The sequence below is a fragment of the Homo sapiens genome, chromosome 8 (assembly GCF_000001405.40).
Source record: "Homo sapiens chromosome 8, GRCh38.p14 Primary Assembly".
Taxonomy (NCBI): domain Eukaryota; kingdom Metazoa; phylum Chordata; class Mammalia; order Primates; family Hominidae; genus Homo; species Homo sapiens.
The window spans coordinates 125,571,509-125,584,831 of record NC_000008.11 but is presented as its reverse complement, the minus strand read 5'-3'; the positions used below and the strand labels follow the sequence as shown (position 1 = coordinate 125,584,831).

At 46.0% G+C, this 13,323-nt stretch overlaps 1 long non-coding RNA gene across 2 annotated transcripts in view, besides 2 other annotated features; it reads right to left on the bottom strand.

Moving 5' to 3' along the window:
- Nucleotides 1–13,323, bottom strand: part of LINC02964 (long intergenic non-protein coding RNA 2964) — a 160,228-nt gene that overhangs the window by 95,303 nt on the left and 51,602 nt on the right. The window contains exon 1 of one of the 2 annotated variants that reach the window (XR_007061095.1): nucleotides 4,335–4,444. The exons of the other annotated variant lie outside the window; for it this stretch is intronic. This is a non-coding gene — a long non-coding RNA (long intergenic non-protein coding RNA 2964). Of the gene's footprint in view, nucleotides 1–4,334; nucleotides 4,445–13,323 lie in introns of those variants that run through there. 2 annotated transcript variants of the gene reach the window in all.
- Nucleotides 4,846–4,975: an enhancer, noted in NCBI's record as "active region_27922". NCBI's record gives its function as "activates an Ori minimal core promoter by ATAC-STARR-seq in GM12878 lymphoblastoid cells {active_cell/tissue: GM12878}" and the evidence as "EXISTENCE:reporter gene assay evidence [ECO:0000049][PMID:35858748]".
- Nucleotides 5,236–5,335: an enhancer, noted in NCBI's record as "active region_27921". NCBI's record gives its function as "activates an Ori minimal core promoter by ATAC-STARR-seq in GM12878 lymphoblastoid cells {active_cell/tissue: GM12878}" and the evidence as "EXISTENCE:reporter gene assay evidence [ECO:0000049][PMID:35858748]".

Sequence of the window (13,323 nt, the reverse complement as noted above, 5' to 3'; positions counted from 1 at the left end):
GATCCTGTCATTATGATGTTAGCTGGTGATTTTGCTCATTAGTTGATGCAGTTTCTTCCTAGTCTCGATGGTCTTTACATTTTGGCATGGTTTTGCAGCGGCTGGTACCGGTTGTTCCTTTCCATGTTTAGCGCTTCCTTCAGGAGCTCTTTTAGGGCAGGCCTGGTGGTGACAAAATCTCTCAACATTTGCTTGTCTATAAAGTATTTTATTTCTCCTTCACTTATGAAGCTTAGTTTGGCTGGATGTGAAATTCTGGGTTGAAAATTCTTTTCTTTAAGAATGTTGAATATTGGCCCCCACTCTCTTCTGGCTTGTAGGGTTTCTGCCGAGAGATCCGCTGTTAGTCTGATGGGCTTTCCTTTGAGGGTAACCCGACCTTTCTCTCTGGCTGCCCTTAACATTTTTTCCTTCATTTCAACTTTGGTGAATCTGACAATTATGTGTCTTGGAGTTGCTCTTCTCGAGGAGTATCTTTGTGGCGTTCTCTGTATTTCCTGAATCTGAACGTTGGCCTGCCTTGCTAGATTGGGGAAGTTCTCCTGGATAATATCCTGCAGAGTGTTTTCCAACTTGGTTCCATTCTCCACATCACTTTCAGGTACACCAATCAGACGTAGATTTGGTCTTTTCACATAGTCCCATATTTCTTGGAGGCTTTGCTCATTTCTTTTTATTCTTTTTTCTCTAAACTTCCCTTCTCGCTTCATTTCATTCATTTCATCTTCCATTGCTGATACCCTTTCTTCCAGTTGATCGCATCGGCTCCTGAGGCTTCTGCATTCTTCACGTAGTTCTCGAGCCTTGGTTTTCAGCTCCATCAGCTCCTTTAAGCACTTCTCTGTATTGGTTATTCTAGTTATACATTCTTCTAAATTTTTTTCAAAGTTTTCAACTTCTTTGCCTTTGGTTTGAATGTCCTCCCGTAGCTCAGAGTAATTTGATCGTCTGAAGCCTTCTTCTCTCAGCTCATCAAAATCATTCTCCATCCAGCTTTGTTCTGTTGCTGGTGAGGAACTGCGTTCCTTTGGAGGAGGAGAGGCGCTCTGCGTTTTAGAGTTTCCAGTTTTTCTGTTCTGTTTTTTCCCCATCTTTGTGGTTTTATCTACTTTTGGTCTTTGATGATGGTGATGTACAGATGGGTTTTCGGTGTAGATGTCCTTTCTGGTTGTTAGTTTTCCTTCTAACAGACAGGACCCTCAGCTGCAGGTCTGTTGGAATACCCTGCCGTGTGAGGTGTCAGTGTGCCCCTGCTGGGGGGTGCCTCCCAGTTAGGCTGCTCGGGGGTCAGGAGTCAGGGACCCACTTGAGGAGGCAGTCTGCCCGTTCTCAGATCTCCAGCTGCGTGCTGGGAGAACCACTGCTCTCTTCAAAGCTGTCAGACAGGGACACTTAAGTCTGCAGAGGTTACTGCTGTCTTTTTGTTTGTCTGTGCCCTGCCCCCAGAGGTGGAGCCTACAGAGGCAGGCAGGCCTCCTTGAGCTGTGGTGGGCTCCACCCAGTTTGAGCTTCCCGGCTGCTTTGTTTACCTAAGCAAGCCTGGGCAATGGCGGGCGCCCCTCCCCCAGCCTCGTTGCCGCCTTGCAGTTTGATCTCAGACTGCTGTGCTAGCAATCAGCGAGATTCCGTGGGCGTAGGACCCTCCGAGCCAGGTGTGGGATATAGTCTCGTGGTGCGCCGTTTCTTAAGCCGGTCTGAAAAGCGCAATATTTGGGTGGGAGTGACCCGATTTTCCAGGTGCGTCCGTCACCCCTTTCTTTGACTCGGAAAGGGAACTCCCTGACCCCTTGCGCTTCCCAGGTGAGGCAATGCCTCGCCCTGCTTCGGCTCGCGCACGGTGCGCACACACACTGGCCTGCGCCCACTGTCTGGCACTCCCTAGTGAGATGAACCCGGTACCTCAGATGGAAATGCAGAAATCACCGTCTTCTGCGTCGCTCACGCTCTGTGAGTGTTTAAAGATGTGCTAGCATCAAAGTGTTGGGGCCTCACCCAAGATCTCTTTGCGGTCCCAGCCAACACAGCCACCCTCAAGCTGCTGTGAGCAATGCACCCTTCTCCAGAGTATTACCTCTGTGGATAGTCAGGAATCGTCTCACAGGGAAATGTCTAGGAGTCACAAACCCCCAACTAACTGGAAGTAGAATACCCAGCCCCTTAGCCACAAGGAGGGACCAGCTCTGTGGTGCCATTCATGCTTCAGACTGCCCATGGGATCAGACTGAGGCTGTTCTCCAGCTGAAACCATATCTCTGCTGAACCCCTTCCATTGCCCTCTCCAGCCTCCCACACTTCCATACAGGGTTCTCCTACATCCCTTACGTAATAAATCAATTACACAAGAAGCTCCACTCAGATGGTATTTCTAGGGTGAAAGCAGACCCCAAAAAATAGCCCAGATCCAGGCCGATAATGACAGGGGCTTCAACCAGAGTGGTAGCAGTGCAGGGGGTGAGAAGTGGTGAGTAAGTCATGCTTCATAAGCACTACTCATTCAATCCTCAATATAGGCAGACATTGGAAATACTGTTATTAGTTCCAGAGGTACTTTAGAACTAATTCACTTTAGAAATAGAGAAACTAAACCTTAGGGAAGTTGATAACTTGCCCAAGGTCACAAATATCAGAGCCAGAATTTGAACCCAGAACTGTCTGACTCTAGAGCTAGAGTTCTTTCCTGTCAAACTCTCCTGCCCTGTCTATGTCATGTCACTTATGGAAAGATGTGTGCCAATAGGAGGCCTCATACAATGCTGACAGACACGTTAGTCTGGGACTCAGAACTGGGTTCCAACTCTGCCTCTGCTTCTAAACACTATGTCAACTCAGGGAAGTTTCTTCATTTCTCTGGGCCTCAGTTTCTGCTTAGGAAAAACATGAGGAAATGAGTTCAAATACCTTTTGACTCTTCTCCCAGGGTACTTTGTCTATGCTTCCAGAAAGTGTAAAATTTTATCTTGCATGACTGGCTCCCTAGTGGTCATGTTAACGCCATGAGCCTATGCTGGGTACAGGGCAGGCACACAGAAAATACTGGTTGAAGCTGGGCGTGGTGGCTCACGCCTGTAATCCCAACACTCTGGGAGGCCAAGGTGGGTGGATCATGAAGTCAAGAGATCGAGATCATCCTGGCCAACATGGTGAAACCCCGTCTCTACTTGAAATACAAAAATTAGCCTGGCATGGTGGCAGGTGCCTGTAGTCGCAGCTACTCAGGAGGCTGAGGCAGGAGAATCACTTGAACCCGGGAGGCAGAGGTTGCAGTGAGCTGAGATTGTGCCACTGCACTCCAGCCTGGAGACAGAGCAAAACTCCACCTCAAAAAAGAAAAAAGAAAGTACTGGTTGAGTTGAACAAAATGAATGGGATGAAATGGAATGGAATAATTTCTATCATTCCAACAGTGAATGAACCTTCCAATGAACCTTCATACATTGGGAGTTGTGCTTACCTAGTGATATAGTTTGGATCTGTGTCCCCTTCGAATGTCATGTTGAAATGTGATCCCCAATGTTGGAGGTAGGGCCTAGTGGGAAGTGTTGGGGTCATAGTAGGGTGGATCCTTCATGAATGGCTTGGTGCCCTCCCTACAGTAATGGGTGAGTTCTGGAGCTGTTAATTTACAAGAGAGCTGGTTGTTTAAAGGAGCCTGGAACCTCTTCCTGTGTCTCTCTCTCTTGATCCATCTTTCACCATGACATGCTGGCTCCCCCTTCACCTTCTACCATGAGTAAAAGCTTCCTGAGGCCTCACTAGAAGTCAAGATGTTTGTGCCATGCTTGCACAGCCTGCAGAACCATGAGCCAAATAAACCTCTTTTCTTTATAAATTACACAGTCTCAGGTATTTCTTTATAGCAAAGAAAAATGGACAAATACACCTTGGAATAGACACTTGGCAGCTGACCTCTCCTCTCACAGCCAACCAGGGCTAGTGACAATAAAAGATTGTTCATGGAACATATTCAAGAGACCAAGGCCCAGGAAAGGGAAAAGCAGAAAGAAAAAGAGGATATCTTCTCAGGGGTTCCAAATGAGATCTTCAATATCCATGCAGGAATCTCATAAACCCTCCAACCCACATTTGCAAAACTGTGTCATCCCCTAATACCTGTCCCCCACAAACCTGTCCCCTTCCTGTGCTCCTTACCTCAGTAAACAGAAGTCCCACCTGACCAGTTACTTAAGCAAGGAGCCCTAGACTCATCCTTGATGCTTCTCTCTCCCTTCACTCCCCACCCTAGAGATTCCTGCCCGGAATATTTCATGGGGCTGTTGCATCTTTACACTACTTGCACCCACTTTCAAGTCAATAGCGTTACTTGCTTGGCTTACCTTAGAAGAAGTCTAAAATCCTTATCATGGCCCAGAAGGTTCTGTGTGACCTCTGCCTGACCTTATCCACCCCCTACTCCTCACCTTCCCACCCCAACTTGTTCACTCACTCCTCCCTCCACCCCACTGCCCTTCCCTAGACTTCCTACACTCTGGCCACGCAGGACTTCAAGTGACTTTTGAGAGTCTAGCTCATTCCTGTCCCTGGAACTTCATGCTTGGAACACTTCTTGCTATTCCTCAACGCCTCATGTCACATTTCCAGGCTGCCCCCCTTATCCTTCAGCCCTTGTTAGCCCTCTTTCTGCCCCTGCCTATTCAATGCCCTTAAGACACCCAGTGCTTTTCTAGCTAATGCTTTGCTCACTTGTAATATTTGTTTGTTATCTTTATAAACTTTAGGGACTAGAGGTGCCCACAGCTCTGTCCCTAAAGCTGGAACAGTGCCTGGCACACAGCAGGGCTCATTAAGTATTTTTGGATGGATGAATGAGTAAACAAGAGGAACAAAGAGCAAACGAATGTGTGCGCCTGGCACTGTCCCTTTCCTCCCGCCATTCCTTTGGCCTGAACCAGTCTCTTCTCTTCCTTCTCACAAGGCCACCCCTTAATCTCACTTGCTCCAAGGATGCCTCCCTCATAGCTCCTCTTAATGGAGGAGATAAATACTCCTTTTACTGGCTGTCACAGGACCAACGTGTTGTCTAAACTTACAACGCTTCAGTGAATCCACTGTAGCCTGTGATCACACGCTGCTCTGTATGTGTAAATCTTGCCTCCCTGCTAGAAGACAGTTCACCGAAGCCTGACGCTGTTCCCCATGGTAATGGGTGCCGGACAAAGGAGCAGAGGAGGTCACATGACTGAAAGTGAGCTCAGCAACCAGAAGGGGCTAACTCACGGTAAAAGGTTTGAACATGACAGCATGTGATATAAATGTAGCCTAAGCTCCTTTCCTTTCAGGCATTTAGTGAACACTGTCTATGCATAAGGCTCTGAGTTAGAGTGGAACAGAAGAGGGAAAATAAGTAGGAGCCCTGATCCCTACCTGCTGAGGGTTTATGGTCTAGTTACAACATAAGACTTGATTGTAAGTAATCACCATATAAGGCTTTAGGCTCAGTGCCCAGGAGAACCCCACCTCCGGAAGTCCATTTCTTTATCTCTAAACAATCCCAAAGTCTGGCCTGATGCCCATGAGGCACCTGGTGTTGGGCTCCCCTTCTCTTACTGGGTGCTGTTCTCCTCCACGACATCATCTTCACTAGAGCTCCTATTTCCATCTTCCTGTTTTATCTTCTCCAGTGGGATATGTGTGTGCATGTATATATGTGTCTGTGTGCGTGCTCATAGTACAGGCAGCTTGCCCCAGATGAAGTGCATGTTGGTAAAACCATTCCTAAGCTGTCTGCAGAATTGGCTGTCCCCGCTCCCTGGGAATTGTTTACAAGCACTTGAACTTAACGACCTGCCTCTAGCAAATGCACCCAGTTGGGCAATGTGGCCAGTTGGGTAAATGCTAGACCCTGGAGTCCAACGGTCCCAATGAGAACTTGGAGTCTCTAAGCACACTTTCGATATCCTTTCGTGGTAAAAGCAAAGGTGATTTAGATTTATTGAGTGAGAGAAGTCCCTGATACCAAAGAAAATAGATGAGTTGGGAAAGGTGACTCTGTTGGCACTCTTCAGAGACTGAGACACGGGAGTTGCCAAAGTTTCTCAAATACCACCACCCGCACCTTGAGCCACTGGGATGATGAAATACTCTGAAGAGTTTGATTCTCCTGTACTGATGAGCTTGACTGAAGCCCAGCAACCCGGCCTACCTCCTGGTGGCCACTAAGGACTCCAGGTTGGACTTGCCATGCCCCTGCAAACACTTTATGGACCAGAGCACAGCTCCCCATAAAGCACAGTTTCCATGTTGCCAGTAGCAAGATGAGTTACTTCACCTATTAGCTGGCAAATGAAATGCCAGGTGGAAGCAAAGTGTTGAAACACAGAAATAGATGCATCCCCACCCTGAGGGGTGATGAAAGACTTGGAAGAGGCCTTCACAGGCACTTGGCACATGCACGGGAGAGCTGGTAGGTGGGTGCTGGGGCTGGGGACGCCTGGCTGCAAGAGCTTGACTTGAACCTGAGCATGCCATGCCTGATGGTGGGGAGGGGACTCTGGGTATTATGCAGCTGCATGCAGGAAAGAACCTAGGCAGAATTTGGCAAACAGATTCAGCTTTTGGTAGCCCTGGAGGGAGTCTTTACTTTCTGGTTGAAAATTCCAACATGAGTCTGATAGTCCTGATAATTCCCTAAGATTTCATGGCTAGGCCAGGCACGGTTGCTCATGCCTGTAATCCCAGCACTTTGGGAGGCCAAGGCGGGTGAATTCCTTTGAGCTCAGGAGTTCAAGACCAGCCTGAGCAACATGGTAAAACTCTGTCTCTACAAAAAAAAATACAAAAAGGTAGCCGGGCATGGTGGTTCATACCTGTTTTCCCAGCTACTCAGGAGGCTGAGGCTGGAGGATCACCTGAGCATGGGAAGCAGAGGTTGCAGTGAGCCAAGATCACACCACTGTACTCCAACCTGGGCGAGAGAGTGAGACTCTGTCTTAAAAGAAAAACAAATGAAAAATTCTTGACTAGAAAAAGGAAGAGAAGTCTGGTTTCGAAATGGGGAGAGAAAGAAGAGAAAGGAGGAGGAAGGGAAGAGATGGGAGGGAGAAAGGAAGGAAGGAAAGGAAGGGGGAAGGAAGAGAGGGAAGAAGAGACAGAGGGAGGGAGGGAGCTACAGAGAATGAAATCTTTGAGATTGTGTCTGATAATATTGCTTATCTGAAATATGCCAAAAGTTTGAAAACAGTTTTCCCCAATAAATGGTATAGTGTGTATGAAAATGTGTGCAAGTGCACATGTGTTTGTGAATATGTTAGAATAGTGTATGTGGTATGCATCTGTGGGCATATTTGTGCATGCGTATGTGTGTGTGAGCATTAGTGTGTGTGTGAAAATGTGTGTGTTTGCACGATGTGTGTGTGCACGTGACTGTGTGTGCTTATACATGTGCATATGCAGGTGTGTGCACGAGTGTGGATGTGTTTGGGTGTATGTACTAGGTGTGCATATATGTGTGTCTATGTCTGTCCAGCACCTGGAATGAAAACAACCTCGGAATCAATCCCAGGAGAGGTGGGATTGTATGCAGATTGGCCACACAGCAGCTGTGTGACTTTGACCGAGTCCTATCACCACCTTGGACCTCAGTTTCTCATATGTTCTAGTTCCTAGAACAATAGCTAGCACACAGTAATCACTCAACAAATATTTACTGAATGAGTAACTGTTATTTAGGGGTAATACTGGCTACTTCTTAGGATGGAGGAGATGACAAAATGAGAAAACATATGCAAAACTATTCTCTGTGTGCTTGGCACATAATCAAAGCCCCAAAACAGTCAGCCCCTCCCCTCTGCAACTTCAGTTTTTTTCCCTTTGGTAGGAGGTCAATGAAAGAAGTGACACACAAGGCCAAATATCCCTTGCAACCCCCTTCCTTAGGCAGAGTACCACGGGACCAATCCTCAGCCAATTTCCAGGGGCTTCTGAGTTCCCATTATGTTATATATTAGCCAGGCTTCTTCCTGCTCTCAGTCAAAGGTTGACAGCAATTCATTTGCAAAAATTAAATGCAAGATTGAATTTTAACAACTCGGAAATTTGAGGTCACGCTTGCTTTTTAGTGACCTATGGGGCAGGAAGCCTGGTGAGTGAGCTGATTCTTGACCTGCCATCTGTATAGCATACTTGTGGGTCACAATCCTGCAAAGTAAGAATTAGTATCCTCATTACGCAGTTGAAGGAATTAAAGCTCAGAGAGATTGTGACTGGTCCAAGGTCACACTGCTTACTCCAGGCCACCAGAGCCGCCTCCAAGTCCGATAAGTGTTATTCAGAAGCTTTGAGGAGGTAAAATCTCCTCACCCAAGCAGACATTAATGAGGTTTCTATGTTTGAACCCACAAACATCTCAAAATCTCTGACCAGTCAGCCCCGGTTGAGTATTGGCAGATAGAGCCAGGGCCATGTGGCAATCAGAAAACTAGTCAGGTGGCACTGGAACAGTGCCTCTGAGGTATTTCACAAACATGGGGAACAAACACATTTGGTGTTGCAATCCTGGTCACCCGGAGCTGCCGCGTTGGCTGTTTTTTGAGAACGAACTGCGGATAAGGAGTTTGAGGCCTGATAGCGCTGGGATGCCCAGAGAGGTGGCCATTTTGGAGACTGCGTCAGCACTCAGGAGACGGAGAGTTCTTTCAGCCCTGAAACCCCTTATGGTTACAGCCAGAGAGACCCACTCCTCCCAAGTGGCCAAAAGCTGTACCCCAAACCCCTTAGTGAGGCATTCAAGGTTTTCCATGGCCCAGAAGTCACCTACAGTTTCATCTCTTCCCACAACTCCCCTTGACAGACTCACGACCCAGGCCAATAACCTCTGACTGGATCCCGGACGTACCTCGTTCTTCACCACGTCCCTGCCCAGGAAACAGACTATCTCCTCCCCTCAGAAGAACCATTCATCCTGTAATCCTCAAGACACAAGTTAATTAAGACCGGGATTTCACAATGCCCTCTGGGATGATTAGTATAACCAGTATGAACTGCTCCATAAACTCAGAGCACAAATACCATCACATTACACTTATTTTTCTGAAACATCTCTTAAGCAGTCACCTACATTAAAAGCAGGAAGTCCAGAATTTTCCTCTGAAAGTTTCCTCTGCTCCCAACAAATTGTCCCAAAACCCTGGGGAGGCCAAGTGAAAACAAAAATGAGTCCTCTTCAGACATCAGGCACAGAGGAACTGGTGTCTGTTCAATTTGCAAATGCCACGGACCTCTCACAGGTTCTCACTGCCATATAGTGTCACTGTGGAGGCTTACACCTACATAATTTCTTGGATACATGCAAATGGCGAGACCAAATCCCTGACCTGCAGCCAGGGGCCCCATGTCGAGCTCTGAAAGTATAATTCTAATTCCTTTTCTCATACTCAGCTATTTATCAGGATACAAGAGAACATCAAGAACACTAAATCAGAACTTGGTCTACTTTCCACCACTCACAAATCCCTTTTTACCCGCCCTATGACTACTGCAAGAAACACCTTCTCTTTTTGAAATCTCCAGAAAGGGAAATTTTTTTTTTTTTTGCGACAGAGTCTCGCTCTGTCACCCAGGCTGGAATGCAGTGGCGCAATCTCAACTCACTGCAACCTCTGCCTCCCAGGTACAAACGATTCTCCTGCCTCAGTCTCCCAAGTAGCTGAGACTACAGACATGCACCACCACACCCGGCTAATTTTTGTGTTTTTTAGTAGAGACAGGGTTTTGTCATGTTGGCCAGACAGGTCTCGAACTCCTGACCTCAAGTGATCCGCCCACCTCGGCCTCCCAAAATATTGGGATTACAGGTGTGAGCCACTGCGCCCGGTCGGGAAACATCTTTTAATACCTTTGCCTCAAGAGAATGAGTGCTGCCTGCACTGCACCTGCCCTTCTCATGGAAACTGGCCTTAGTGCCTTTCTTTTCCTGCCTGTACCTTGCTGTAACTGGCAACTTCCTCACTAAAGAAAATAACAAAAGCTCAAGTTAAATCTCCAACAGGGCACCTCCTATGAGGGCACCTGCAACAATTGCAATACATTTTAGGACCACAAAATTGCTCCCAGGCATAGCCAGAGGTGAGTGATTATATTTGGAAAAGGCCTACTGTCTACAGGCATTTTGACACAAATTATTCTGTTGAATCCCAACAATGACAGCGAAGTGGTGTGACCTGCATTTTACTAAGGAACATGAGGCTTAAGGTAGCAAGGGGCTGAAAGCTACACAACTGTGAGATGCTTGACCAAAGTCTGTCTCCTGCCCTGGAGAGAGTAACAGCTTGCTCCTCCCACCCCAGTAATTCACTGCTAGTGAGATCAAAGTAAAAGAAACATCCCAAGCAGCCTTAAAGAGATAAAGGCATCACAAAAGGGCAGCCTAAAGACTTAGCACATAGTAAGTGCTCTATTAACAGTTGTAAATGGCACAGTGGATACTTGTTCTGTTTTGTGCCCAGACATGGGACAGATCAATGAGGCATAAGGGCTGATTCTAGCACAAAACCTCACCTCTGAGCTTACCATGAAGGAGAAGATTCACTTCTCAACTATTCTAAATCAACACTGGAAGGAAATACGCTATCAAAAAAACTAGAGAAAGGGTGAAAAGAAAGCCCAGGAGAAGAAAACGCTAACTTCCTTTTTTTTCTTTTTTTTTTTTTTGGTAAAGAGACAGGGTCTCACTATGTTGCCCAAGCTGACCTCAAACACCTGGCCTCAAGCAGTTCTCCTGCCTCTGGAACCACCACGCCCAGCTCCAAGAATGCTAACTTCCAAACTTCCACCTGGAGGAGCTTGGGAGAATTCCCAGAGAAAGGGAGCATTTTAGCTGGGCCTTTGCATGTACATAACAATAACAACAACCATAATCTACTAACTATAGTTAACCACTTGCTCTGTGCCAGGCACAATATAAGCCCTTCCCATAAATATTGCCTCATTTGACTCTTCCAAGAAATCTCTAAGGTAGATGCTATTGCTATTCCCATCATACAGATGAGGACACCAAGATACAGTAACAACAAACCAGAAATTATTAAAGAAGGGATTCAATCTCGTGTGTATCTGGAATTCATCTGTCTAGTCAGAGGTGAGCCTGTGACAGGCAGAAAAAGGCATTTCCTCTTTTAATGGCACATTCCCCTTTGGTGGACTCCCCCAGGAAGGCAGGAAGAAGGCACAAGCCAGGTAAGGGGGATGGTGAAGTCTGCCCCTGCCTGAGGGTGACTCTCCCTGCCCACTAATAAACAGCAGCACAGTAAATCACATACTCTATCTAGCCAATTAGATAAGATGCTCATTGCTTGCAGAAGAACAATTAAAGAGAGACTTTGGGGTTCTTTGCTCCAAAGTTCCCCAAGGGCAAGCATGGAAAGAGAGTAAATGGACAAAGGACCCATTTTCCTAACAAAAAGAGCCATCACTTACCATGGGCAAGACATGTACTAGGCTTTTGCAAGCATTATCTCATTTTAATTTTCATCAACACACTCTAATAAGTGTAGATAACATCCACTGATTGTGAATCCTGTGCTAGGCATTGTTCTAGATGTTTCTACAAACCCATTGGATCCTCACAACTCTGTACACTATGATTATTGTGATATTATGTTTATTAAATATTATATATTATATGTACATTATATAATACAATAATACAATATTGTTGTTGTAATATTATTATATAATATTATTAGGTTGGTGCAAAAGTAATTGGGGTTTTTGTCATTACTTTCAATTTAGGTTGCACCAATCTAAATTACATTATTATATTATTATCTCCACTTTACAGAATCAGAAACTGATGCATAGGGTAATTAAGTATTTTTTCCAAGGTAATGCAGGTGATTGGTGGGAAAGCTAGGTTTTGAACTCAGGCAGTCTGGTTCCGGATCTCATACTATTCACCACGATCTATTTTGCCCTATAAAGAAGGTATGAGTATCCACATTAAATAAAGAAGGAGGTGGAATTCCATAAGATACTATGAATTGCCTAGTCTTTTTGGTGACAAAATCAACATTTGACCCCAACAGCCATGCTCTTAACCACTTGGCAATAGCAGCCCTGGTCCTGCACAGCCTCGCAGTGTGCTGTGCACATCACTTCTCTCCATGCCTTTTCCAGGTGTCATAACCTGGAAAAGAAGAATATGAAAGTTGATAGCTCCAAGTGGCCTGGTCAGCTCAGACTCCCCAGGACACACTGGAGAAGTTTAACACTCCAGGTATCTATTACCTGAGTAGGACACCAGTTACTTTCTGGCAGGCAAACCACAGCCTAATCCTTAACAGCTCCTTGTTTGCCTGAGGATAATTTTGGGTTTCTGCCACCACTCCTCTTCTACCTTTGTGACAGAGAGTCTCCAATATTGCCACCAACACTTTCTCCCATCTTTCCACATATATCTGCTCCTCACAACAAGAGGTGAAGTCTGTCTTTCCCTCCCCTTGAATCTGGTAGGGCCTTGCGATTTACTTTGCCCACATGAATATGGTAGAAATAATGTCCTAGAGTTTCTAAGCCTGGCTTCAAGAGTTTGGGAAGCTTTCTCTTCTTGCCTCTTGGAATCTAGCTGTCGGACTGTAAAGAACCTTCAACTACACTACGAAGATGAGAGACCGCATGAGGAAGAGAGGGCCCAAGGATGGGAAGCCATCTTGGATGTCCCAGCCCCAGGCGGCTCCCAGCTTAGTGCAGCTACTTGGCTAACATTGGCTACACAACATAAGAGCAGAAAACTGCTCAACTGTTGGGAGAAAGAATACATCTTTGTTGTTTTAAGACATTAGAGAGTGGTTTGTTACACAGTAATTGAAAGAACTCCATTTCCTCCACCTTATCTTTTTTTTTTTTTACCACAAAAGATTACTCCCTAGCTTACTGGTGTCAATGTCCATTGGATTACAGCATTTAAGTGTGCTCATGCCTTCCTGACTAACGACGACTTCTGACCTAAGACAAAGGGCAACGATGTGGATTTATTCATTCAGTGTGAGCATCTTTCTGTGCCAGGAATATGCTGGAGCCCAGAGACCCAGAGATAAATAAGACACAGCCCACGCCTTCAGAAAGCGATGTTTGGGGAAGAGCTAGGTCAGTCTCATCACAACACGGAGTGATGGGATCAATCTGTTCATTCATTCAATAGCATCTATTGAGTGCCTACTATGTGTCAGGCAGTCCGCTAGTCATTTGGGCTATCATCAATGAACAGGCAAAGATCCACGTCTTCATCTGGCTTACATTTTTTAGGGTGCTTTCATTCCAATAGTGGCAGAAGTATAAGTGAAGCTCTGTCCAAGAAGCTCTGTACAATGT